The 26,233-nt window shown below is 37.9% G+C and overlaps 1 protein-coding gene across 14 annotated transcripts in view; it reads right to left on the bottom strand.

Moving 5' to 3' along the window:
• The window catches only part of ZC3H12B (zinc finger CCCH-type containing 12B), a 473,062-nt gene that overhangs the window by 411,780 nt on the left and 35,049 nt on the right, over window positions 1-26,233 (bottom strand). For 9 of the 14 annotated variants that reach the window (NM_001010888.4, XM_047442075.1, XM_047442077.1 and 6 more), the window contains exon 2: window positions 20,196-20,264. The gene's annotated coding sequence lies outside the window, so the exon portion shown is untranslated. Of the gene's footprint in view, window positions 1-20,195; window positions 20,265-20,437; window positions 20,635-26,233 lie in introns of all 14 variants that reach the window. The other 5 variants (XM_017029479.2, XM_017029480.2, XM_017029481.2 and 2 more) reach the window with 1 other exon arrangement.

The following is a 26,233-nucleotide window of genomic DNA, read 5'->3' as shown; positions in this document are numbered from 1 at the left end:
ACAGTTATTTTTAATTGCTGGTCTGATAATTATAATATTTCTGCCATATCTAACTATGGTGCTGATGCTTGCTTTGTCTCTTCAAACTGTATTTTTTTTGTCTTTTAATATGCCTTGTAATCTTTTGTTGAAAGGTGGACATAATGCACAGTTTAAAAGAAACTGCAGTAAATAGGCCTTTAGTGATGTGGTTGTAAGTTGTAGGGGAAGGGGAAGAATTCTACAGTCCTATGATTTAGAGCTCAGTCTTTTAATGAGCATGGCCCCCTGCACTGTGAACTTTGCAAATGCTGCACAATTTCATCCTCCCCTTAGGTGAAACAGGATGGCTAGAAGGCACTGGAATTGGGTAATGTCCTTCCCTCCAGTTAAACTCATAAAACCCCAATAAGTTAGGCTCTGGTAAAACAGTTGCTCTTCAGAACACTTGTTAAGAATAACAGAATGCTCTGACATATTTCCAAAGGGCTACCTACTTTTCTCCTCCCACTGCTAGAAGCACACAGGTATTTCTCTTTGATCTTCATTGTAAGAACCAAGCAGAGTTCTTTGTTCAGGTTTTCCTCACCCAGTACTGGTTCCTACAGAGGTTTCTGCTTGTGGGTTTCTGTACTGGTAAGACATGATCCTCTGAATTTGCCTCTCTCTCTTTCCAATTTGGGGCCAGTAATTTGCCTCAAGACCTCAATTATCTGACAGATCTATGAAGAGTTGTTGTTTTTCAGTCTGTTCAGCTTTTTATCTATTGTCAGGATCAAATTACAACTTCCAAGCTCTTTACATGCCAGACCATAAATCAGAAGTGTTTGTCTTACACTTTGAATGCATCTTTTAAACTCATGATTCTGTAACATCATGGTTTGGTCATCTGTATTGATCCACTGAGCTATGCAGATTTTCCTAATACAGATCCATTTTGTAATCTAACAAAATAAAAACATTTGACTTAACATCACCATTGATTTCATCAGAACAGCTTTTAAGTATTTAGAAGCTGTCAAGCTCATAGTGATAGATTAAAGTTTCCCAAAATTGTAATTTTCATTTAAAAGCTCAAATTTTATCACTGGTAATAAATATTCTCAGTTTGTCTTGACATGAAAAGCTCACTTCATTCATTTTTGAGAAAAAAATGCCTGCAAAATGCCTAAGTCTGCATAACTAGTTTATCTGTTAATTGTTCCTTTAGGTTCAATTCCATAAGTAAAATGGCTACATTGGCTTGCAACTCAAACACACAAGTGTTTTTTCCTCAAGGCAACCACCATATGTCTTCATGCTGCAGACATGCTTTATGTGTACTTCCCATTTTCTCACAAAGAATATTAAATGACTATGTACTCCAGGTCAAAATATAATACAATTACAACAATTTTAATTGTTTCATCAAGGACATTTTTAATGGAAACTGACTTTTTAATTTTACTGTGAGTGTGTGGTATTGAAGAATACAGTAACTGCTAGTACAGTTTAGTACCACTGCCATAATTTGTGCTCAGATACAGTTGTTTTTTCCCCAAGAGTGGAAATATCAAAACATTTTTTAAAAATCCAAATCATAACTTAGTAGGCCCTATATTCAAAATAGTTTTGATCTCATGGGGACCCTGGAAGTCTCATGAACTCCTGGGGGTCCTTGGACCACACTCTGAGAGCCATTTGTACACTGAGAAGAATAATGGGTTTTGTAATCAAACTTGGAGTTAACCACTGCTTCCTCTATAGGTTTTGCAGTTGTATAAACTTGTTTCATTTTTCATTATCTTCATCCCCAATGTATTAGTCAGTACTCGAATTGCTATAAAGAAATGCCTGACACTTGGTAATTTATTAAAAAAAAAAAAAAAGAGGCTTAATTGGCTCATGGTTCCACAGGCCGCACAGGAAGCATAATACTGACATCTGCTCAGCTTCTTGGGAGGCCTCAGGAAAGTTACAATCATGGTGGAAGGCAAAGGGGGAGTGGGCACCTCTCATGGCTGGAGCAGGAGAAAGAGTAAGAGGGGAGGTGCCACATATTTTTAAACAAACAACCAGATCTCATGAGAACTCTGTCATGAGAACAGCACCAAAGGAATGGTGCTAACAATCCACTCCCATGATCCAATCACCTCTCACCAGGCCCCACCTCCAACATTGGGGATTAAAATTCAACATGATATTTGGGTGGGGATACAGGTCCAAACCATACCATTCCACCCCAGGCCCCTCCCAAATCACCTGTGCTCACATTGCAAAACACAATCATCCCTTATCAACAGTCAACAAAGTATTAACTCATTCAAGCATTAACTCAAAAGTCCAAAATCCAAAGTCTCATCTGAGACAAAAGGCTAGTCCCTTCCACCTAGGAGTCTGTAAAATCAAAAGCAAATTAGTTATTTCAAAGATACTATGGGGGTATAAGCATTAGGTAAATATATCCCTATTCCAAAAGAAATAAATCAGCCAAAAAAAGGCGGGGCTACAGCCACATGCAAGTCCAAAACCCAGCAGGGCAGTCATTAAATTTTAAAGCTCCAAAATAATCTACTTTGAATCCATGTCTTACACCCAGGGCATGCTGATGTAAGGGGTGGGCTCTCAAGGCCTTGCACAGCCCTGCCCCTGTGGCTTTGCAGGCTTCAGTCCACACAGCGGCTCTCAAGGGTTGGTGTTGAGTGTCTGTAGCTTTTCCAGGCACAAGGTGCAACCGTTGGTGGATCTACCATTCTGGAGTCTGGAGGACAGTGGCCCTCTTCTCATAGCTTCACCAGGCAGTGACCCAGTGGGAACTCTGTATAGGTGCTCCAACCTCACATTTCTCCTCTGCACTGCCCTAGCAGAGGTTCTCCATGAGGGCTTTGTTCCTGCATCAGGCTTCCACCTAGACATCCAAGCTTTTCCATACATCTTCTGAAATCTAGGTGGGGGCTTCCAAGCCTCAACTCGGATTCTGTGCACCCACAGGTTTAACATCACATGAAAGCCACCAACAATTACAGCTTACAAGCTAGTGAGCAGTGACCCAAGCTGCACCTGGGCCCTTTTGAGACACAGCTGGAGCTAGAGCTTCTGGGATGCAGAGAGCAGTGTCCCAAAGCTGTGCAGGGCAGAAGGGCACTGGGCCTGGCTCATGAAACCATTCTTCCCTCCTAGGTCTCTGGGCCTATGAAGGAAGGGGCTGCCACAAAGGTCTCTGAAGCCTTGGAGGCCTTTTTCCCACCGTCTTGGTTATCAGCAATTGCCTCATTTTCACTTATGCAAATTTCTGCAGCTGCCATGAACTCCTCCCCAGAAAATGTGTTTTCCTTTTTTATCACATGGTCAGGCTGCACATTTTCCAAACTTTTACACTCTGCTTCCCTTTTAAATATAAGTTCCAGTTTTATGTCATTTGTTTGCTCACACATATGAGCATAGGCTGTTAGAAGCAGCCTGTCAACATCTTAAATGTCTTGCTGCTTAGAAATTCCTTCTGCCAGATACTTTAAATCATCATTCCCAAGCTCAAATTTCCACAGATCCCTACATCTGTGCATGATGCAGCCTTCCTCTTTGCTAATACATGACAAAAGTGACCTTTGCTTCAGTTTCCAATAAGTTCCTCATTTCCAGGTGAGACCTCCTGAGCCTGGCCTTCACTGTCAGCATTGTGAATACAACCATTTAACCAATCTTTAGGGATTTCCAAATTTTCCCTCATCTTCCTATCTTCTTCTGAGCCCTCCATATGCTTCCAACCTTTGCCCATTACCAGGTTCCAAAATTGCTTCCACATTTTCTGGTATCTCCATAACAATGCCCCACTTCTCTGTGCCAATTTTCTGTATTAGTCCATTATCTCATTCATATAAAGAAATGCCTGACACTGGGTAATTTATAAAGAAAAGATATTTAATTAGCTCATGGTTCCACAGGCTGTACAGGAAGCATAATGCTGGCATCTGCTCGCTTCTCAGGAAATCTCAAGAAACTTAAAATCATGATGGAAGGCAAAGGGGGAGCTGGCACCTCACAAGACCAGAGCAGGATGAAGAGAAAGTGAGAAAGGAGGTGCTACACACTTTTAAACAAGATCTCATGAAAGCTCTATCATGATAATGGCACCAAAGGGATGGCGCTGAACCAATTATAAAGGATTCACCCCCATGATCTAATCACATCCCACCAGGCCCCACTTCCAACACTGGGGATTACATTTGAACATTAGATTTGGGTGGGGACACAGATCCAAACCATATCACCCTGTTTTATTTGAATTAATAAACTTTAATTCTTGAGCAGTTTTAGGTTCATAGCAAAATTGAACAGAACATACAGATAATTCCCATATAACCCTTGTATGCACATATGCACAACCTTCCTAACTACAAACCGGTATTTGAACACTGCTAAGATGTTTTTTTTGTATGATCTTGGACAAACCACTTACTCTGAACCTCAGTTTTCTCATCTACAAAATGAGGTTAATAATATTCACATAAAGTATCATCAAGAGTAGTAGAGATACTCTAAGTAACATGTTACATCACACCTTGTCCATAGCTAGTACTCAACATCTAAAAATACAAAAGGTTTATTTAAAAAACAACCAAATAAACTTGACAGGCTAGAATAATAGGCTAAAAATAACAAAATGAAGCATAATAGGTATGTATTAGTTTTCTATGGCTGCTGAAACAAATTACCATAAACTTGGTGGCATGAAACAACAAACACTTATTCTCCTGCTGTTCTGGAAGTCAGAAATTGAAAATCAGTTTCACTTGGCCAAAATCAACGTGTCAATAGGGCCACACTCTTTCCAAATACTCTTGACTTTTCTGGCTTCTAGAGCTGCATTCCTTGCATTCCTTTGCCCCTTCCTCCATCTTCAAAGCCATCAGTATCATATCTTGTTTTAGTCACCACATTGCCTTCGTCTTTGATCACACATCTCCTTCTGTCTCCCTCTTATAAGGACATGTATGACACCAATAGAGCTGTATTAGTCCATTCTTGCATTGCTATAAAGAAATACCTGAGAGTGGATAATTTATAAAGAAAATAGGTTTCATCGGCTCACAGTTGTGCAGGTTGTACAAGAAGCAGAGAGGCATGTGATTCTGGGAAAGCCTCAGAAAGCTTATAATCATGGTGTGAAATGGGAGAAGCCACATCACATGGCAAAATCAGGAGCAAGAGAGAGACGCAGGGGGATGCCATACACTTTTTAAACAACCAGATCTCATGAAAACTCACTAACGCAAGGACAGCAACAAAGGGATAGTGCTAAAACATTCATAAAAAATCTGCTTCCATGATCCAATCACTTCCACCAGGCCTCACCTCCAATACTGGGGATTACAATTCAGTATGAGATACAGGTAGGACTACATATCCAAATTGTAACAGGGCCCACTCAGATTGTCTAAGGAAAATCTCCCCATCTCAAGATCCTTGACTTAAAAGGGACACCTGCAGAGTCCCTTCTACTATATAAGGTAACATTCACAGGTTCCAGGGAGTAGGGCTGGGTATCTTCTGGAGCCAACCACAAGGTATAAATGTAAAGTCACCATCTAGGTTAAAAAATAAACTGTTTAGAAAAAAAGAACAACTGTTTCATGTTCAGAGTAGGGAAGAAACCTAGATAAACAGCAGATTATTTAAAAACAAGATTAGTAGATGCAATCAATGTGATCATCAGTGTGACTTAGTTACAAAAAAAATCCTACATCTATTTATCAAAAGAAGTAGAGGGTGCAGAATATGAGACAAGAGGCCTAGCTATATCACACTTAGAATATTATACAGCCATGTACCACACAACAATGTTTCAGTCAATGATGGACCACATACACAAAGGTGGTCCAATAAAATTATAATGGAACTGAAAAATTCCTATCCCCTGGTGACATCACAGTCACTGCAACAATGTAGCACAAGGCATTACTCACATGTTTGTGGTGATGCTGGTGGAAACAAACCTACGGTACTGCCATGCATATAAAAGTACATAGCACATACAATTACATATAGTACATAATACTTGATAATAATAAATGACTGTTACTAGTTTATGTATTTATTATATTATACTTTTTATCATTGATTTATAGTGTACCCCATCTACTTATTTTTAAAAGTTAACTGTAAAACAGCCTCAGGGAGGTCTTTCAGAAGGCATTCCAGAAGAAGGCATTGTTATCATAGGAGATGACAGCTCCATGTGTGTTGTTGTCCCTGAAGACCTTCCAGTGGGAAAAGATGTTGAGGGGGAAGACAGTGAAACTGATTATCTTGATCCTGAATAGGCCTAGTCTAATGTATGTGTTTGTGTCTTAGCTTTTAAAAAAAAGTTTAAAAAGTAAAATATAAATAATTTTAAAAGCTTATACAATAAGAATATAAAAAGGAAATATTTTGTACAGCTGTACATCTATTTTTATTTCAAGCTAAGTGTTATTACAAAAGAGTCAAAAAGTTTAAGAAAATTAAAAGTTTATAAAGTAAAAATGTTATACTAAGCTAAGATTAATTCTTATTGAAGAAAAATATTTTTAATAAATTTAGTATAGCTTAAGTGTACAGTGTTTTATAAACCTTACAGTAGTGTACAGTAATGTAGCAGGCCTTCACATTCATTCACCACTCACTCGTTGACTCACCTAGAACCACTTCTAGTTCTGCAAGCTCCATTCATGGTAGGTATCCTATACAGAAGTACCATTTTTAATGTTTTATACTATACTTTTATTGTCCCTTTTCTATGTTTAGATACACAAATACCATTGTGTTACATTTGCCTATAGTATTCAGAACAGTAACATGCTGTACAGGTTTGTAGCCTAGGAGCAATAGGCTATACCATATAGTCTAGGTGTGTAGTAGGCTATACCATCTAGGTTTGCGTAAGTACATTCTATGATGCTCACAACAATGACAAAATTGCCTAATAATGCATTTCTCAGAATATATTCCCAACATTAAGTAACACAAGACAGTAGCTTGTTACCACAATTTAAAAATAAACAATGAAAAACTGATGCATTTCTAGGGGGAAATAACTATGATCATGAAAGAACTAAAAAGTTTGTTCCATAAAAAATAACTAATATTTATGGTAAATATGCCAGGAACTGTTCTAAATATATTAGTTATATTAGCTAATTTAATTATTTCAATAACTCTATGATGTAGATACTATGTGTTAATTGTCCCCATTTTCCAGAAGAACCAAGGCACAAATTAAGTAACTTGCTCAGAATCACATACAATAGTAAACTTCAAGGCCAGATTCAAACCCAGGCAATCCAGCTCTGGAGCCCACAACTTAGCTATATTGCTTTACTAACACAACAGGAAATGGAAGAGACATTTCAGAAGGCGAAAAAAACCATCCTTAAATAACTGAAGGATTATCAGGTAGAAGAGGAATTAGAATTAGTCTGTGTCATTATAGAAAGCAAGACCGAGACTAAGGGTTGAAAATTACCAATTTGAAGGAGTTCAATACATCATTCTGAATCTGCTTTGTGAGGTTATGTTTTTTCCAATTAATAGAAAAGATTAAGCAGAAGCTGAAAAAGAACACATGGTAAGTATCCTATAGAGAAGTAGCATGTTTAACCTTTTATACAGTATTTTTTACCATCCATGGAGCTTGCAGGACTAGAAGTTGCTCTGGGTAGGTCAATGAGTGAGTGGCAAGTGAATGTAAGGGCATCCATCCACTGCTGAAAATGTTCTAGTATCTAGATGGAGTTCTGAGTACAAATCACTGCTAGCACTAAAGAAAACCCCACTATTGCAACGATGGTGGAAAGTAGGTCTGCGTAGTTTGCAAAAGCCCCCCCAGAGGAACTCTTTTACTACCACCCAAAAGGGCAGTCTTATCTCCCTTTTGAGAGTACTATCATAGATGATTTTTAAAGAGAGATTATAAGATTCAGCAGTAACTTGAAAGATTTTATGAATGTTAATTTTATCCAGCAGGCTGGGAATCTTACACAGGCTAATGTAAACACTATCACCGTCACCATCCCAACGATATATCTGGAGGCTACAGACTGTATTAAGGCAATGGTTTCCAAATATTTTTAAACATTACCCATAATAGCCAATACATTTTACATCATTACTAAGTGCAAAAGTGTTTCCTAAATAGTACTTCTCCTTACTATGTCCCAATGCACTCTGATATTTTCTATTCCTATTTCAGCTTTTAAAAATTACTGACTATAACATATGAAATTGATTTCATGACTCCAACCAATGTGTTTCAACTCACGGTATGAAATATTTTGAGCTAAGAGTAGTATTTACCTGTTGCTTCCCAAGTATTTCTGAAGTTTTCTACTGACATAAACAACAGTTTTCTGTACTCTCAGTTCCTTTAATGACCTTCACCTAATCTTCCTCCACCTTAGCTTAGCTACCCTGTCCTATGTCAGATCCTAGACCTTTATCTGTAATGGATCACTTCCAAAGTCTCATTTTCATGCATACTACTTTCTATCACCCTTCTCTTTACTGGCTCTCTAAAATACGAGCACTCCTAAAATTCTCTGATTGTGCATCTAGTCCGTTCACCTTGCCACCTTTGACTCTCGATCGCCCCTGTGTCCTCTCATGTCTTTATTCAGTTTAGATTTTAAAATCCATCACCCTTGGATTAGTTATCCCTTGTATATATCCCTTAGTTATCCCTTGTATATATCTTCAACTCCCGTGCCAGTCTCTGGCTTTGCCATATTGCCTTGGGAAACTGCCAACTTTAGTTAAATTCAATTAACCTTTCTCCTTTTTGAAACAACTCAGTACTAAAGCCATTAGGTGGAATAAAGCAAAAGCAAGAAAGATGTCCACGGTAGAGGGTGTGCCTGTGTTGGCTTAGCATAGGGTGTCAGTGCCCTGACAGGATGAGGAGGGCATTCACCTAGAGGGCATCCTGGTATGCCAGAGCCCAAGGGAGGTGAGAAGGGCATCCATGATGAGGGAAACGCACCTATTGTGGGTATCGGAGCTAAATGTAATGATGAGGCCATCCATTAGACTCAGAGAGCAGACCTAAAGAGAAGACTCAGAGCCTGGGTGTGTTAGAGAGGGCCAGCCAGAGCATCAGAACCCAAGCAGGATAAGGGAGGTATCCATGCTCAGGGTGCTCTGGCATGGGGTATTAGAGCCCAAGCAGAGTAAGGTGGGTATCCATGTTGGAGGCCAGCCCAGCATTCGGTATCAGAGCTGAAACAAGCTTAGGATGCTATCCTTGTGGAGGCAAAGCCTGGCATGAGTTGTCAAAGAATGAAGAATATCTTAGTCTGTTTGGGATGCTATAACAAAATACCATAAATTGGGTAGCTTATAAACAACATAAATTTATTTCTCACAGTTCTGGAGACAGGAAAGTCCAAGATCAAGGCACCCACAAATTCAGTGCCTGATGATGGCCACTTCCTGGCTCACAGACAACCTTCTTTTCTCAGTAACTCATATAGCAGAAGGAGCAAAGAAGTTATCTCGGATCTTTTATAATGGCAATAACTAATAACATTTGTGAAAACTCTGTGCTTATAACCTAATAACCTCCTAAAGGCCCCAACTCCTAACAGCCTCACAACAGTAATTAGGTTTCAACATATGGATTTCGGTGGCGGGGCACAAACATTCAGACCACAGCAGTGAAAATGGTAACTGTGTGGAGAGGGTGTGCTGGAATGAGAGGTCAATTGCTGAACAAGATAAAGAGACTATCTGCATCCTGGTGGAAATGGAAGATTGGTTACAAGGAAATTTCTCAAACAAGTAAATATATTAAGGAAAATAGAAGTCAGGTTTCTTATTGTTACAAAGAAAAAGAGAAAACAAGAACAAATCCTGTGATATAGGACTGGCTTTAGAATTCATGGTTTTTAATATTTATAGATAAAAATAAATATAGATGTAAATACTGTGTGTGTAATCTTCAAAAGTGCCAAGGTCATAGAAGGCAAAGAAAGAGCAGGAAACTGTACCAACTGAAGGATACCAAAAAGACATGACAGATAAATGTAACACATGATTTTGAAGTGATCCGTGTTCCAAAAAAAAAAAAAAAAGACATTATTAGCACAATTGGTAGAATGTGAATTAAGATCTGAGGATTAGATTGTTATCTAATATCTAATATCTGATATCATTGTTACTTTGCTGTATGCTCTGTGATCATGTAGGAGAATGTCCTTGTTTGTGGGAAATATGTATTAAAATATTCAAGGGTGATAATGAATCAGGTCAGCAACTGACTCTCAAATGGTAGTTTTAAAAAGTTCTTTGTACTACATGTCCAACGTATCCCTAAATATGTGATTCTTTCAAAATCTTTTTTTTTTTTCTTTTTTCGAGACAGGGTATAGCCCATACTGAAGTGAAATGGCACAATCATAGCTCACTGTAACTTTGAACACCTGGGCTCTAGAGATCCTCCCATCTTATACTTCCGAGTAGCTGGGATTACCAGTGCTTCAAACCAGGCCTGGCTAATTTTTTATTTTTTGTAGAGATGGGGTCTTACCATGTTGCCCAGGCTGGTCTTCAACCCCTGGCCTCAAGTAATCCTTCAGCCTCGGCCACACAAACTGGGGTAATATAGGTGTGAGCCATTACACCCAGCCTCTAAATCTTAAGAATAAAAACAAAATACCACAAAACCATGGTGATTTGGTTTCACATTTTTGAATTTTTTTTTATTTTTAATTTTTGTGAGTACATAGTAGGTATATATGTTTATGGGATAAATGAGATGTTTTGAAACAGGCATGCAATGTCAAGTAATCACATCAAAGAGAATAGGGCATCCATCTCCTCAAGTATTTATTCTTTGTGTTACAAACAGTCCAATTACTCTCTTTTAGTTATTTTTAAATGTACACTTAAGTTATTATTCACTACAATCATCCTGTTGTGCTAGCAAATAGTAGGTCTTATTCATTCTTTCTAACTATTTTTTGTATCCATCACTCATCTCCACCTTCCCACTCCCATCTCCTCACTACCCCTCTCAGCTTCTGGTAACCATCCTTCAACTATGTCCATGAGTTCAATTGATTCAATTTTTAGATCCCACAAACAAGTGAGAACATGTGATGTTTGTCGTTCTGTGCCTGGCTTATTTCATTTAACATAATGATCTATAGTTCCATCTACCTTGTTGCAAATAAGAAGATCTCATTCTTTTTATGGCTGAATAATACTCCGTTGTATCTAAGTACCATGTTTTCTTTATCCCTTCATCTATTGATGGACACTTAGGTTGCTTCCAACTCTTAGTTATTGTGCAAAATGCTGCAAGAAACACGAGAGTGCAACTATCACTTAAATATACAGACTTCCATTATTTGGGTATATACCCAGCAATGGGGCTGCTGGATCGCATAGTAGCTCAATTTTCAGTTTTGTGAGGAGCCTCCAAACTATTCTGCATAGTGGTTGTAATAACTTATGTTCCCACCAACAGTGTACAAGGGTTGCCTTTTCTTCACACCCTCACGACCATTAGTTATTCTCTGTCATTTAAATATAAGCCATTTTAACTGGGGTGAGATGATATCTCATTGTAGTTTTTATTTGTATTTCTCTGATGATCAATGACGTTGAGCAACTTATCATATGCCTCTTTGCCATTTGTATGTCTTCTTTTAAGAAATGCCTATTAAAATATTTTGCCCATTTTTTGATCAGATTATTATATTTTTTTCTGTAGAGTTGTTTGAGCTCCTTATATATTCTGCTTATTAATCCCTTGTCAGATTCATACATTGAAAATATTTTCTCCCATCCTGTGGATTGTCTCTTCACTTTGTTGGTTGTATCCTTTGCAGTGCAGAAGCTTTTTAATTTGATGTGATCATTTGTTTGTTTTCGCTTTGGCTGCCTGTGCTTGTGGAGTACTGCTCAAAAAATCTTTGCCCAGACCAATGTCCTGCAGATTTTCTCCAATGTTTTCTTGTAATAATTTCATATTTTGAGGTCTTAGATTTAAGTCTTTCATCCATTTCAATTTGATTTTTGTATATGGCAAGAGTAGGGGTCTAGTTTCATTCTTCTGCATATGGATATCCGGTTTTCCCAGCACCATTAATGGAAGAGACTGTCTTTTCCCCAGTGTATGTTCTTAGCATCTTTGTTGAAAATGAGTTCAGTGTAAGATTGTGGATTTAATTCTGGGTTCTCTATTCTGTTCCATCGGTCTGTGTGTCTGTTTTTATTCTAGTATCACAGTGTTTTGGTTACTATGGTTCTGTAGTATAATATAATTTGAAGTCAATAATGTGATTCCTCTAGTTTTCTGTTTTTTGCTTAGAATAGCTTTGCATATTCTGGGTCTTTTGTCATGCCACATAAAATTTAGGATTGTATTTTCTATTTATGTAAAGAATGTCATTGGTATTTTGATAGGGATTGCATTGAATCTGTAGAGTACTGGGAGTAGTATGGACATTTTAACAATATTGATTCTTCCAATCCATGAGCATGAAACATTTTTTCCATATTTTGGTGTCCTCTTCAATTTCTTTCATCAGTGTTTTATAGTTTTCATTATAGCAATCTTTCACTTCTTTGGTTAATTTGAGGTGTTTAATTTTATGTGTGGCTATTGTAAATGGGATTACTCTTTCAATTTCTTTTTCAGATTGTTCACTGCTGGCATATAGAAATGCTACTGAATGTTGTTATGTCGATTTTCTATCCTGCAACTTTACTGAATTTTCCATCATTTCTAGTAGATTTCTTGTGTAATTTTAAGGTTTTTCTAAGTATAAGATCATATCTGCAAACAAGGATAATTTGATTTCTCCCATTCCAATGTAGATGCCCTTTATATCTTTCTCTTGTCTCATTGCTCCAGCTAGGAATTCCAGTAATGTGTTGAATAACAGGGGTGGCAGTGGGCATCCTTGTTGCATTCCCGAGTCTAGAGGAAAAGCTTTCAGTTTTTCCCCATTTAGTATGAAACCAGCTGTGGGTCTGTCATATATGGCTTTTATTATCTTGAGGTAAGTTCCTTCTATCCCCTGTTCTTTTGCAGGTTCCTATCATGAAGTGATGTTGAATTTTATCACATGCTTTTTCTGCATCAACTGAAATGACCATATGTTTTTTTTTTCTCCTTCATTCTGTTGATATGATGTACATCATTGATTGACATGTGTATTTTGAACTATTCTTGAATCCCAGAGATAAATCCGATTTGGTCATGATGAATGATCTTTCTAACATATTGTTGAAGTCAGTTTGCTAGAGTTTATTGAGGATTTTTGCACCAACATTCATCAACAATATTGACCTTTAGTTTTATTTTTTTGATATGTCTTTGTCTGGTTTTGGTAGGGTAATACTGACCTCATAGAATGATTGTGGAAGTCTCCCTACTTCCTCTAATTTTTGGAATAGTTTGAGTAGGATTGCTTTTCGTTCTTTAAAGGTTGGGTAGAATTCATCAGTGAAGCCATCAGCTCCCAGGCTTTTCTTTATTGGTAGACTTGTTATTACAGCTTCGATCTCATTACTTGTTATTGATCTGTTCAGGTTTTGGATTTCTTTCTGGTTCAAAGTGGATAAGTTGTATGTGTCTAGGAAACTGTCCATTTCTCCTAAATTTTCCATTTTACTGACACATAGTTGCTCATCATAACCACTAATGATCCTCTGAATTTCTGCAGTATCAGTTGTAATGTATGCTTTTTCACTTCTAATTTTATTAGTATCTTCTCTCCTTTTTCTTAGTTTGCCTAAACGTTTATAAATTTTGCTTAACTTTTCAAAAAAGTAACTTTTTGTTTCTTAGGTCATTTGTATTGTTTCTTCATTTCAATTTTATTCATTTCTACTCTGATCTTTATTATCAATTTTATTCTACTAATTTTGCATTTGGTTTGTACTTGCTTTTCTAGTCCTTTAAGATGAATCACTAGATTATTTATTTCAAAGGTTTCCTCCTTTTTGATGTAGACACTTATAGATATATACTCCCCATTAGGACTGCTTTTGCTGTATCACATAGGTTTTGGTATGTTGTGTTTCCATTTTCATTTGTTTTAAGACATTTTTCAATTTCCTTCTTAATTTCTTCATTGACCACTGGTCATTCAGGAGCACACTGTTTAATTTCCATGTTATTTGTGTAGTTTCCAAAATTCCTCTTGTTATCGATTACTAGTTTTATTCCATTGTGGTCACAGAAGATGTTTGATATTATTTCAATTTTTTGAGACTTGTTTTGTGACCTAACTTATGGTCTATCCTTGAGAATGATCTATGTGCTGAGAAAAAGAATGTGTATTCTGCAGCTATTGGATGACATGCTCTATAAATATCTATTAGATCCATTTGGTCTACAGTTTAGATTAAGTCTGATTATTTTTGTTGGTTTTCTGTCAGGAAAATCTGTCCAATGCTGGAAGTGGGGTGTTGAAGTCTCTAGCTATTATTGTATTGAGGTCTATCTCTCTCATTACCACTAATAATATTTGCTTTATATACCTGGATGCTCCAGTGTTGGGTGCATATATACTTTAAATTGTTACATCATCTTGTTGAATTGACCCCTTTATCATTTTATAGTGATCTGTGTTTCTTCTTACAGTTTTTATCTTGAAATCTATTTTGTCTGATGTAAGTATAGCTATTCTTGCTCTTTTTTGGTTTCCATTGGCATTGAATATCTTTTTCCATCCCTTCATTTTCAGACTATGTGTGTCTTTATAGGTAATGTGTGTTTCATGTAAGCAACCGATCAATGGATCTTCTTTTTTCATCCAATCAGCCTCTCTACATCTTTTGATTCAGGAGTTTAGTCCATTTACATTTGATGTTATTATTGATAAATAAGAACTTACTCATGTCAGTTTGATATTTGCGTTCCGGTTGTTCTGTGATCTTCCCTTTCTTCTTCCTTTTCTTGCTGTCTTTCTTTACTGAAGGTGACTTTCTCTGGTGATATAATTTATTTTATTTTATTTTTATTTTTTGTGTATCCATATGTTTTTTAGTTTGAGGTTTACCATTAGGATTGCAAAACTATCTTATAATCCATTATTCTAACCTGATAACTACTTAATGGTCTTTGCATTAAAAAAAAGCAGAAAGAAAATTAATAGAAACTCTATTACTTAACTTTGTCCCCCTGCTTTTTAACTTTTTACTGTTTTATTGATATCTTATTATACTGTCTATGCCTTAAAAAGTTGTTTTAGTTATTATTTATGATTGATTCATCATTTAGTCTTTCTACTTAAGATATGAGTAGTTTACATACCACAGTGACATGTTATAATATTCTGTGTTTTTCTGTGTACTTACTATTACCAGTGAGTTTTGTACCTTCAGGTGATTACTTGATTATTAACATCTTTTTCTTTATAGTTGAATTACTCCCTTTAGCATTTCTTGTAGGATAGGTCTGTTATTGATTAAATCCCTTAGCTTTTATTTGCCTGGCAAAGCCTTTGTTTCTCCAGGTTTGAAGGATATTTTCACCAGATATACTATTCTAGGGTGAAAGTTTTTTTTCTTCTGCACTTTTAATATATCATGCCCTCTCTCCTGGCCTGTAAGGTTTCCACTGAAATGTCTGCTGCCAGATATTTTGACATTCCATTGTATGTTAATTGTTTCTTTTCTCTTGCTGCTTTTAGGATTTTTTCTTTATCCTTGACCTTCGGGAGTTTGATTATTAAATACCTTGAGGTAGTCTTCTTTCAGTTAAATCTTCTTGGTGTTCTATAAACTTCTTGTATTTGGATATTAATATCTTTTTCTAGGTTTGAGACTTCTCTGTTATTATCTTTTTGAATAAACTTTCTACCCCTATCTCTTTCTTTCTCTACCTCTTCGTTAAGGTCAATAGCTACTAGATTTGCCCCTCTGAGGATATTTTCTAGATCCCATAGGTGTGCTTCATTGTTTTTTTTTTTTTCTTTTGTCTTCTCTGTGTACTTTCAAATAGCCTGTCTTCAAGCTCATTACTCTTTCTTCTGCTTGGTCAATTGTGCTGTTGCGAGACTCTGAGGCATTCTTTAGTTTGTCAACTGAATTTTTTAGTTCCAGAATTTCTGCTTAATTTTTAAAAATTATTTTAATTGCTTTGTTAAATATATCTGAGATAAATCTGAATTCCAACTCCATGTTATCTTCAATTTCTCTAAGTTTCCTCAACACAGCTATTTTGAATTCTCTGTCTGGAAGATCATATATCTCTGTTTATTGGGATTAGCCCCTGGTGGTTTATTTAGTTCACTGGGTGAGGTCATGTTTTCCTGGGTAGTGTTGATGCTAGTATATGTTCTTTGGTGTCTGGGTATTGAAGAGTTAAGGATTTAATGTAGTCTTCACTGTCTGAGCTTGTTTGTTCTTTTCCTTCTTGGGAAGGCTTTCCAGGTATTTGAAAGTACTTATGTGTTGTGTTCTAATCTGTATCTGTTTTTGTGGGCAACCCAAGCCCAGTAACACAGTGGTTCTTGCAGACTTACAGAGGTACTGCCTTGATGGTCTTGGACAAGATCCAGAAAAATTATTTGGATTACCAGGCAAATACTTGTTCTTTTCCCTTTCTTTCTCCCACACAGAGTCTCTTCCTGCACTCCAAGCCACTTATAGGTGGGGGTAGAGTGACACAAGCACCCCTGTGGCCACCACCACTATGACTGTGCTGGGTCAGACCTGAATCCAGTAGAGCACTAGGTCTCACCCAAGGCCTGATGTAACCACTCCTTGGTTACTGCCTCTGTTCACTCCAGGCCCTGCAGCTCTTTAATCAGAAGGTGGCAAAGCAAGCCAGGCCAGGCCTGCATCCTTCCCTTCAGGGCAGTGAGGTCCCTCGGGTCCCAGGTGGGTCCAGAGGTGCCATCCTGGTGTCAGGGACTGAAGTAAAAAACCTTAGACGTCTGTCTAGTGTTCTCTTGTACTGCCACTGAGTTGGCATTCAAACCACATGACACAGTCATTATGTAAAGTGAAATAAGCCAGGCACAGAAAGAGAAACATCACATGTTTTCACTTATTTGTGGTATCTAAAAATCAAAACAATCGAACTTGTAGAGATAGAGAGTAGAAGGATGGTTACCAGAGGCTGAGAAGGGTAGTAGGGGTTTTTGGGGAAATTGGGGATGATTAATGGGTACAAAAATTAGAAAGAATGAATGAGCTCTAATATTTGATAGCAAAAAATGGTGACTATAATGAATAATAATTTAATTGTACATTTTTAATTAACTAAAAAAGTATAATTGGATTGTTTTAACAGAAAGGATAAATGCTTGAGGGTATGGATGACCTATTTTCCATGATGTGACTATATGTGTTACATGCCTATATCAAAATATCTCATGTACCCCATTACTATATACACCTACTATGTACCCACAAAAATTAAAAATTAAAAGAAAATTCCTCCAAAGAGTTGTCTATTCTCCTTGTCTCCATACCATGTATTGTCACTCTCTTGTCACACTTCAATCAATCTTTGATTTCAAGCCTCCACTGAGATCTCTCTCACTAAGGTCAATGATAATCTCCATATTGTCAAATCCTATAGTCAATCCTCAAATCACATTTAGCTTGATCGCTCAGCAACATTTGTGACAATTGATTATGCCCTCATTCTGGAAATACTTACTTCACTTGGATTTCATGACAATTATTTCTTCTTATGTTCCTCCTACCTTACTAGCTACTCATTCTCATCTCCTTCACTCGATTCTTTTACTTCCTGAACTTGAAACGTTGGAATGTGCCAGAGCTGGTCCTTGGACTCATTCTCTATCTATACTTATTCACTAAAGTCATTGTACTGAGTCTCACAGCTGTATTTACAATTTATAATCTGATTACTTCTAAATTTATATCTCCATCCTTGAAATACATATTTGTAAATCCAACTGTGTAATAGACATTATCACTCACATATCTCAAACTTAACATTAATTCCCAGCCCTAGTCCCATCAAACCTGGTCTTCCTCCATTGTCTCCCTTCTTGGTAGATGCTGCCACCACTAACTTTATTGCTTAGGATAAAATCCTTGGAACAACCCTTGAATCTCTTTCTCTCACATTCAAAATGCAATCCATCACCAAATCTTGTTAGTTTCACCATTAATATATATCCAGAATCTCTGGAACAAGATGTTGTGAACTTACTTTTCCATGCTACCTTCCTCTAAATTCAACTAAACACTCTGGAAATTACTGAACAGAAAAAATAAAAGGACTCTGAAATATGGTAAGAAACTATATGAGTTAGCAACCTAAAGATGTGAGGAACAAGAATGCTATGAGTTCCCTGAGTTTTCTTTTTACCTCCTAAATATCCCAGACTAGGCACTGGGGAGACCTGCAATCCAGAACTGCCAACAGGCATAAACAACAACAACAAAAACAAAAACAAATTTAACCTTGCCTTCTCTGGCCTATGTTCTAGTAAAAAGCCCAACAGAGACCTAGTGGAGAGCCCCAACTCCTGTTCTACAGCCAAGGTACCCGAGAATAACCTGATTTGCACAGAGAGGCAGCTGCAAAGCTCCTGGAAAATCCAGCTTCCACCCACAATGAGGTCATCAACAGGTGAGCTGATCTGCCCACATAAGTAGCTTCAGAACCCTGATGGGCCATCTTAACTCCTGATCCACAACTAGGACACTGACAGCTCACAGGAGTAGCAGTGAAGCTCCAGCAGTCCAACCCAACCCTGGCTCAACACCTGTAGTGCTTGCAGGCTGGTCTACCTGCAGTGGAAGCAGAGAAGGGCTGGTCCACCCAATTTCCATTCCAAACCCAGGGCACCACCATCTCTTAGTCTTCTATTAATTGACACAAGACTCAGTGCCAGTAGCTTTTGTCTCATCCCCTGCAGGATAAGGTGGCTCAATGACACCCGGTAGCCCAGCAGAGTGCTTTGTGCCATGGCAGATGGCACTAGTAGGGAATAAATGGGTGCTGCAGCACCATCAGAAAGACAAAACACATCAGAATGGCTCTGAAAACTAAACTGTGATTAGACCTAAGACCCACAAAAAATAGGCCAGAACCTATATTCTAAACCTAAACAGGATCATTACTTGCTAAAATAGATTCAAGAATCAAGAGATTCCTAAAATAGTAACCAAAATATTCACGATAAAATGGAAAATCATTCCTTATGCAAAGAACTAGGAAAACTACAATTTGACTGAGAAAAGATCATTAACTGATACTAATACCAAGATTATTCTGAAGTTGGAGTCACCTGATAAGAAAGTTAAAACTGATAAGAAAGTTAACTTTCATAAAAGTACTTCAACAAGTAATTAAAAATATCTTTAAACAAATGCAGACAGAGTATCTCAACAAAGATATAGGAATTATTTATTTTTAAAAAAGAACCAAATGTAAATTATAAAATTAAAAAAATACAACAGCCAAAATAAAATTTAAAACTCACCAGATGGACTCAATACTAGATTAGAGGTGAGGAACAGAATCAGTGAAGTTAAAGATATATCAACAAAACTTATTCAATCCAAACAAAGAGAAAATAGCATGAAAAAGAAACAAAAAGAAGAAAGCCTCAGGGATCTGTGGAACAATAACAAAAGACAGGACAACTGTGTTATCATCAGAATCCCAGTAGGAGATGAGAAAGAATGTGGGGCTGAAATAGTATTTAAATAATAACAAGAAACAGGGGTAACAAGCCAGGCATGGTGGCTCATTCCTGTAATCCCAGTGCTTTGGAAGATTGAGGTGGAAGAATTGCTTGAGGCCAGGAGTTTGAGACTAGCCTGGGCAACATAGTGAGACCTGATCTCTACAAAAGTGAAACAAAAATCAGCTAGGCATGGTGGCACATGCCTGTAGTCTTAGCTACAGGGTCACTTGAGCCCAGGAGTTCAAGGCTACAGTTAGCTCTGATCACACCACTGCACTCCAACAGCCTAGGTGATAGAGCAAGACCTTGAAGAAAAAAAAAAAAGAAAGAAGAGAAGAAGAAACAAAAAGAAAACAAATAATAAAATAGAGACTGGTGATGTCAGGAAGATGGCAGAATAGATAAAGTCAGAAAACTTCCTTCCTCCAAAGGAGACACCAAGTCAACAAGCAAAAATACACAGATCGATTCCCTTCAAGAGAAATCCAGAAACTAGTTAAAAGGCTCCTGCATCACAGGCAAGCTAAAATCAGCCACACTGAAGCTGGTAGGAAAATTCATGGTACTCACTCGCCATGGTCTCTCTGCCCAGCTTAGCATAGCATCATCAGCAGAAAACTCCCAATTCTTGGCTTCTTCCTAGAGAGAAAAAGAAGAAGGCTGAAACATACGTCCAACATGAAGACTTTTTAGGGGGAAGGCTGAGGAAGTAATTTCTGTCTTCCCTGTATCTGGAGACTCGTGAAAAAGTGTGCTAGGTTGAAGGCTACTGAGAACAAGGGCAAAAGTTTAGGCAAAAAGCACTCACTCACCATACTCCCTCCTCCCAGCTCGGCATAGAACGAGAGGGTGAAAACTCCCAATTCTCAGCTTCTCTCTAGGAAGGGAAAAAGTTGTGGCATGTGTCCCACATTCTGTCTTTTTGGGGGGACTGCTTGAGAAATGGGTTTCTTTCTCATCTCTCTCAGAAGGCAGACAGGACTGGCATAGTCTAGATGTCTGGGGGATGCTGAAAACAAAAGAGATGTAAGTGATTTGCTGCTATTCCACAGGATATGCAGTAGAGAAGACAGATGTTAACACAGCTCAAAGGCTTCTCCCTCAGGGAGGGGAGACAGAAGAGTAAAGTGTATGTTCAACATTATAGCTTTTTGGGGTCTGACCAAGAAACTTCTTTTACTTTAAAACAGACTTCAATTATTTTACTAGATTAAAAGCACTGATATGGTTCAGTACACTCTAGAAGCTTGGGGGAAACTAAGAACTAAAGAGAGATGTGAACTAATAAATCTCTTTAATTGAAAATTTGCATATACAAGTCCAGAGAAGAAATATACACATAAAATGTCTCAGAGGACCTCAAAATCTCTAATTAGGCTGATTTGTGAAGGTCTTTCCTTGCACAAAGCCAATCTATAAAGATTTGGTGAGGTGGTCATTTTCTTAAATGCATGGATCCAACATAAAGGTACAAAGCAAGCAAAGAAACAAGGAAACATGGCACAAAGCCAAAACAACAAAATAAGTCTCCAGGAACTGACCCTAAAGGAGATATATGAATTATCTGACAAAAAATTCAAATATCCATCATAAGGATGCTCAACAAGCTCAGAACAATAGGATACATAAATAAAATGAAAATAACAAATCAACTGAAAACATAAAAACACCCAAACAGAAAATTTTGAGCTAAAGAATACAATAAGTGAACTGAAAAATTCACTAGACAGTTTCAATATCACACTTGATCAACCAGAAGAAAGAAGCCACAAACTCGAATACAGGTAATTTGAAATTATTAGTCAGAGAAACAAAAACAATAAAAAAGAAGTGCAGAAAGTCTAAAAGGACTTATGGGACACAATCAAGTGAATCAATATACACATTATGATATTAAAAGAAAAAGAAGAGACATAAAGGGACAAACATTTATTTAAAGAAATAATAGCCTAAATATCCCAAATCTGGGAAAGAATATGAACATCTAGACTCAAGAAGCCCAACAGAACCCAACTAATAGGAAACCAAAGGGCTTCAAACTGACTACATTATGACTAAATTGTCAAATGTCAAAAACAAAGAGAAAATTTTTAAAGAAGAAGTGGCTCATGACATACAAGAGGGTCCCATAAAACTATCAGTAGATTTATCAGCAGAAACCTTGCAGGTCGGAAAGGAATGATATCATAGATTTGAAGTAATAAAAAAAAAACCTGTTAACTAATAACATTATATCCAGAAAAACTGTCTTTCTAAATAGAAAGAGAAATGATTTCTCATATAAACAAAAGCAGAGAGAGTTCATCACAACTAGATGCACCTTATGAAAAAATGCTAAAGTGAGTCCTTTGAAGTTGATATGAAAAGATAATAGAAAACAGCCCAAAGATAAATGAAAATAAAACCTCCACTGCTAAAAGTAAACATATAGACAAAACAAAATATTAGAATACTGGAGAAGCTGGGCAAGATGGCTGACTAGATGCATCCAGGTGAACCAGCTGCCACTGAGGGACTGGGACAACTGGCGCACTCCTAGCAGATCTTCAGAGGTACGGCACTAAGAGTGGATGGAGGAAAGACCAGAAGCTTGGCTGAAGGAGGAGGCAGCTGGGAACCCTGCACAGGGCTACAGTGCACCAGGACTTGTTCTTGGCCTCCAACAACTCTGGGAGAATGGGTGAGTTGAACTGGCAAGAAGCAACATGCTCTACAATGGGCTTCTGGAATTCTGGTAGGATGAGACCCCTCTCCCACCACGGACACTTGAGTTGGCAGGGGAAGCCATTAGAGAAGTGGTAGGAGGGAGCACTCCAGTTGGCGTAGAGCCCAGAGGGTTTGATGTGGGAATATAGCGAAGTGCAGCCATGGATGGCCATCTTCCTAGGCTCAACTTGCTTCCATAGGAAACTTTAGCTCTAGGGGAACTGTCATACCTGAACTCTACAGAATTTTCTTGCCCATTACACAAAACCAGTCCAATCTGAACACCCCTTGGTCTGCCGGCCTCTCCCAGGGCCCCAGCCTGGCTGCACTTGCTTGCAGTGTGGCTTCAGGTGCCCTGGGGGCCTACATTGTAGCTCTTGCACTGGTGAACCATGCCTGGCCAGAAAAGAGTTCCAGCAGAGTGGCCCCCACAGACACATAACAACCTGTCCCCTCCCACACTCCACTGCAGCTTCCTACGAGAGCATGGCCACCCCAACATTGCTTTGCCACTATGCATGTGCATGGACAGACTTTGCCTTCTCTGTCCCACCAGCGTATGTGTGTGCATGCATGCGTGTGTGTGTGTGTATGTACACCTTGCACTGCCACTGCTGCCAGTGTGATTGCATTCTTCCTCCCATCCCCCAACCATACCATTGCAGTCAGAATCTTTGCAGGCACAGAGCCTGTCAGCACCACTCATATCAGCATCTTGCCTCTGGGCTAACATGGCCACTGGAGTGAAACTAGGCTCAGAAAACAGAGGACACTCTGCCACCCTGAGAGGCCACCTCCACCTGTGTGAATGTGCAAAGGGGGCACACACAGTACTGCTTCTGCCAACACCCCACCTGTGTGCTGACACCAACACTGGCATGACCAGGTGCACAGTAACAAGTAGGGGTCTCCCCAGTGCCCAAGGCATGCTACCTCCTCTGCTTCTGCAAACATCCATATGGAGGCCTGCACCCTGGCACCTGTTAATGCCCTATGGTAGCCAACAAGCATGCACCCCACCATGTTGCTGCTGCCACTGCTGCTAGGACATGTGAACAAGAACAGATCTCACTGCCACAGCCCTATGAAATTCTCTGGCTGCCACCACCCATCAGAGTGAGCCCTGCCCCCCAATATCTTCAGAAACAAAGCAAGTTGACTGTACCCACCAAATACCACAAACTATCAAGGTCATCAAATGGGATAAAAGAAAAAAAAACTCATCCATAGGACAGCAACCTCAAAGACTAAATGAACATCAGCCCATAAAGATGAGAAAGAACCAGCACAAGAAACCTGACAGCTCAAAAAGCCAGAGTGCTTTCTTTGCTACAAATTATCACACTAGCCTTCTAGCAAGGGTTCTGAACCAGGCTGAGATGGTTGAAATTACAGAAACAACATTAGAAATGTGGACTGTAATGTTACAGAAACTGATAGGCAAAATAGCCAGTAAAGAAAAGAATATAACTAACCTGATAGAGCTGAAAACACATGCTACAAGAATTTCATAATGCAATCACAAGTATTAATAGCAGAATGGACCAAGAGGAAGAAAGAATCTGAGAGCTTGAAGACTGCCTTTCTGAAATAAGACAGTCAGAAAAGAATACAGAAAAAAGAATGAAAAGGAATGAACAAAACCTCTGAGAAATATGAGATTACGTAAAGAGACCAAATCCATAACCCACTGGTATCCCTGAGATGAGGAGAATGGAAGAAACTTAGAAATTATATTTCAAGATATCATCCATGAGAACTTTCCCAACTTAGCTAGGGAGGTCAATATTCAAATTCAGGAAATGCAGAGAACTCACACAAGATAATTCACAAGAAGATCATCATCAAGACACATAACCATGAGATTCTCCAAGGTCAAAATGAAAGAAAAAATGCTAAAGGCAGCTAGAGAGAAAGGTCAGGTCACATACAAATAGAAGCCCATCAGACTAACAGTGGACGCCTCAGTAGGAATCCTACAAGCCAGAAGAAATTGGGAGCCAATATTCCACATTCTTAAAGAAAAGAAATGCCAATCAAAATTTTCATATCCAGAAAAACTAAGCTTCATATGCAAACAAGAAATAAGATCCTTTCCAGAAAAGCAAATGCTTAGGGAATTCGTTACCACCAGAACTGCCTTCCAAGAGCTCCTGAAGGAAACACTATATATCAAAAAGAAAGATCATTACAAGCCACTTCAAGAACACATTTAAGTACATAGACCAGTGACAATAAAAAGCAACCACAAAAGCAAGTCTGTAAAATAACTAGCTAACATAATGACAGGAGAAAATCCACACATACCAATATCAACCTTGAATGGAAATGGGCTAAATTCCCCAACTAAAAGGCACAGGCAGGCTGGATAAAGAAGCAAGGCCCAATGGTATGGTGTTTTCAAGAGACCCATCTTCCATACAATGACACCAATAGGCTCAAAATGAAGGATGGAGAAAAATCTACTAAGAAAAAAAAAAAAAAAAACTGAAAAAAAGCAGAGGTTGCAATTCTAATTTCAGAGAAAACAGATTTCAAACCAACAAAGATCAAAAAGAACAAAGAAAGGCATTATATAATGGTAAAGGGTACAACTTAACAAGAAGATCTAACTATCCTAAATCTATACACACCTAACACAGGTGCAATCGCATTCATAAAATAAGTTCCTTGAGACCTATGAAGAGACTTTGTTTCACACACAATAATAGTGCGACACTTCAACACCCCACTGCCAATATGAAAAAAAATCATTGAGGTTAAAAAAAATAACAAAAAAATTCAGGACCTGAACTCAACACTTGACCAAATGGACCTAAAACACATTTACAGAACTCTCTACCAAAAGACAACAGAGTATACATTATTTTCATTGCCACATGATGCATACTCTAAAATCGACCATGCAATTGGACATAAGACAACCCTCAGCAAACTAAAAAAAAAAAAAAAAAAAAAAACAGAAATCATACCAACCACACTCTTGGACCACAATGCAATACAAATAGAAGTCAAGGCTAAGGAAATTGCTCAAAATCATACAATTATATAGAACTTAGACAAGTGGCTCCTGAACCACTCTTGGGTAAATAATCAAATTAAAGCAGACATCAAGAAGTTCTTTGAAACTGATGAGAACAAAGACACAACAAACCAGAATCTCTGGGACACAGCTAAGGCATTGTTAAGAGGGAAATTTATAGCACTAAACACCACATCAAAAAGTTAAAAAGATCTCAAATTAACAACCTAACATCACAATTACAAGAACTACAGAAGCAAGAGAAAACCAGTCTCAAAGCTAGCAGAAGACAAGAAATAACCAAAATCAGAAGTGAAATAAAGGAGATTGAGATACAAAAAAACAAAAAACATACAAAACACTAATGATCCCAAAAGTTGAAAAAACTAGACCGACCAGTAGCTACATTAAGAAAGAAAAAAAGAAAGAAGATCCAAATAAATACAATCAGAAATGACAAAGGGAACATTACCACTGACCTCACAGAAATAAAAATAACCATCAGGAGCTACTATGAACAACTCTATGCACATAAACTAGACACTCTAGAAGAAATCGATAAATTACTGAACACATACAACCTCACAAGACTGAAAATAAAAAAGACATTGAATCTCTGAAAGACCAATAACGAGCTCTGAAATTTAATTAGTAATAAATAGCCTACAAACAAACAAAAAGCCCTGATTCACAGCCGAGTTCTATGAGATGTACAAAAAAAAAAAAAAATCTGTACCACTCCCACAAAAGCTGTTCCAAAAATTAAGAACATAAGACTCATCCCCAACTATTTATATGAGGCCAGCATCATCTTGATGCCAAAGCCTGGCAGAAACACAAAAAATAAAACTTCAGGCCAATATCCTTGATGAACATAGAT

The sequence above is a fragment of the Homo sapiens genome, chromosome X (assembly GCF_000001405.40).
Source record: "Homo sapiens chromosome X, GRCh38.p14 Primary Assembly".
In the NCBI taxonomy this organism is placed as follows: Eukaryota; Metazoa; Chordata; class Mammalia; order Primates; family Hominidae; genus Homo; species Homo sapiens.
This window is presented reverse-complemented; position numbering and strand designations above follow the sequence as displayed.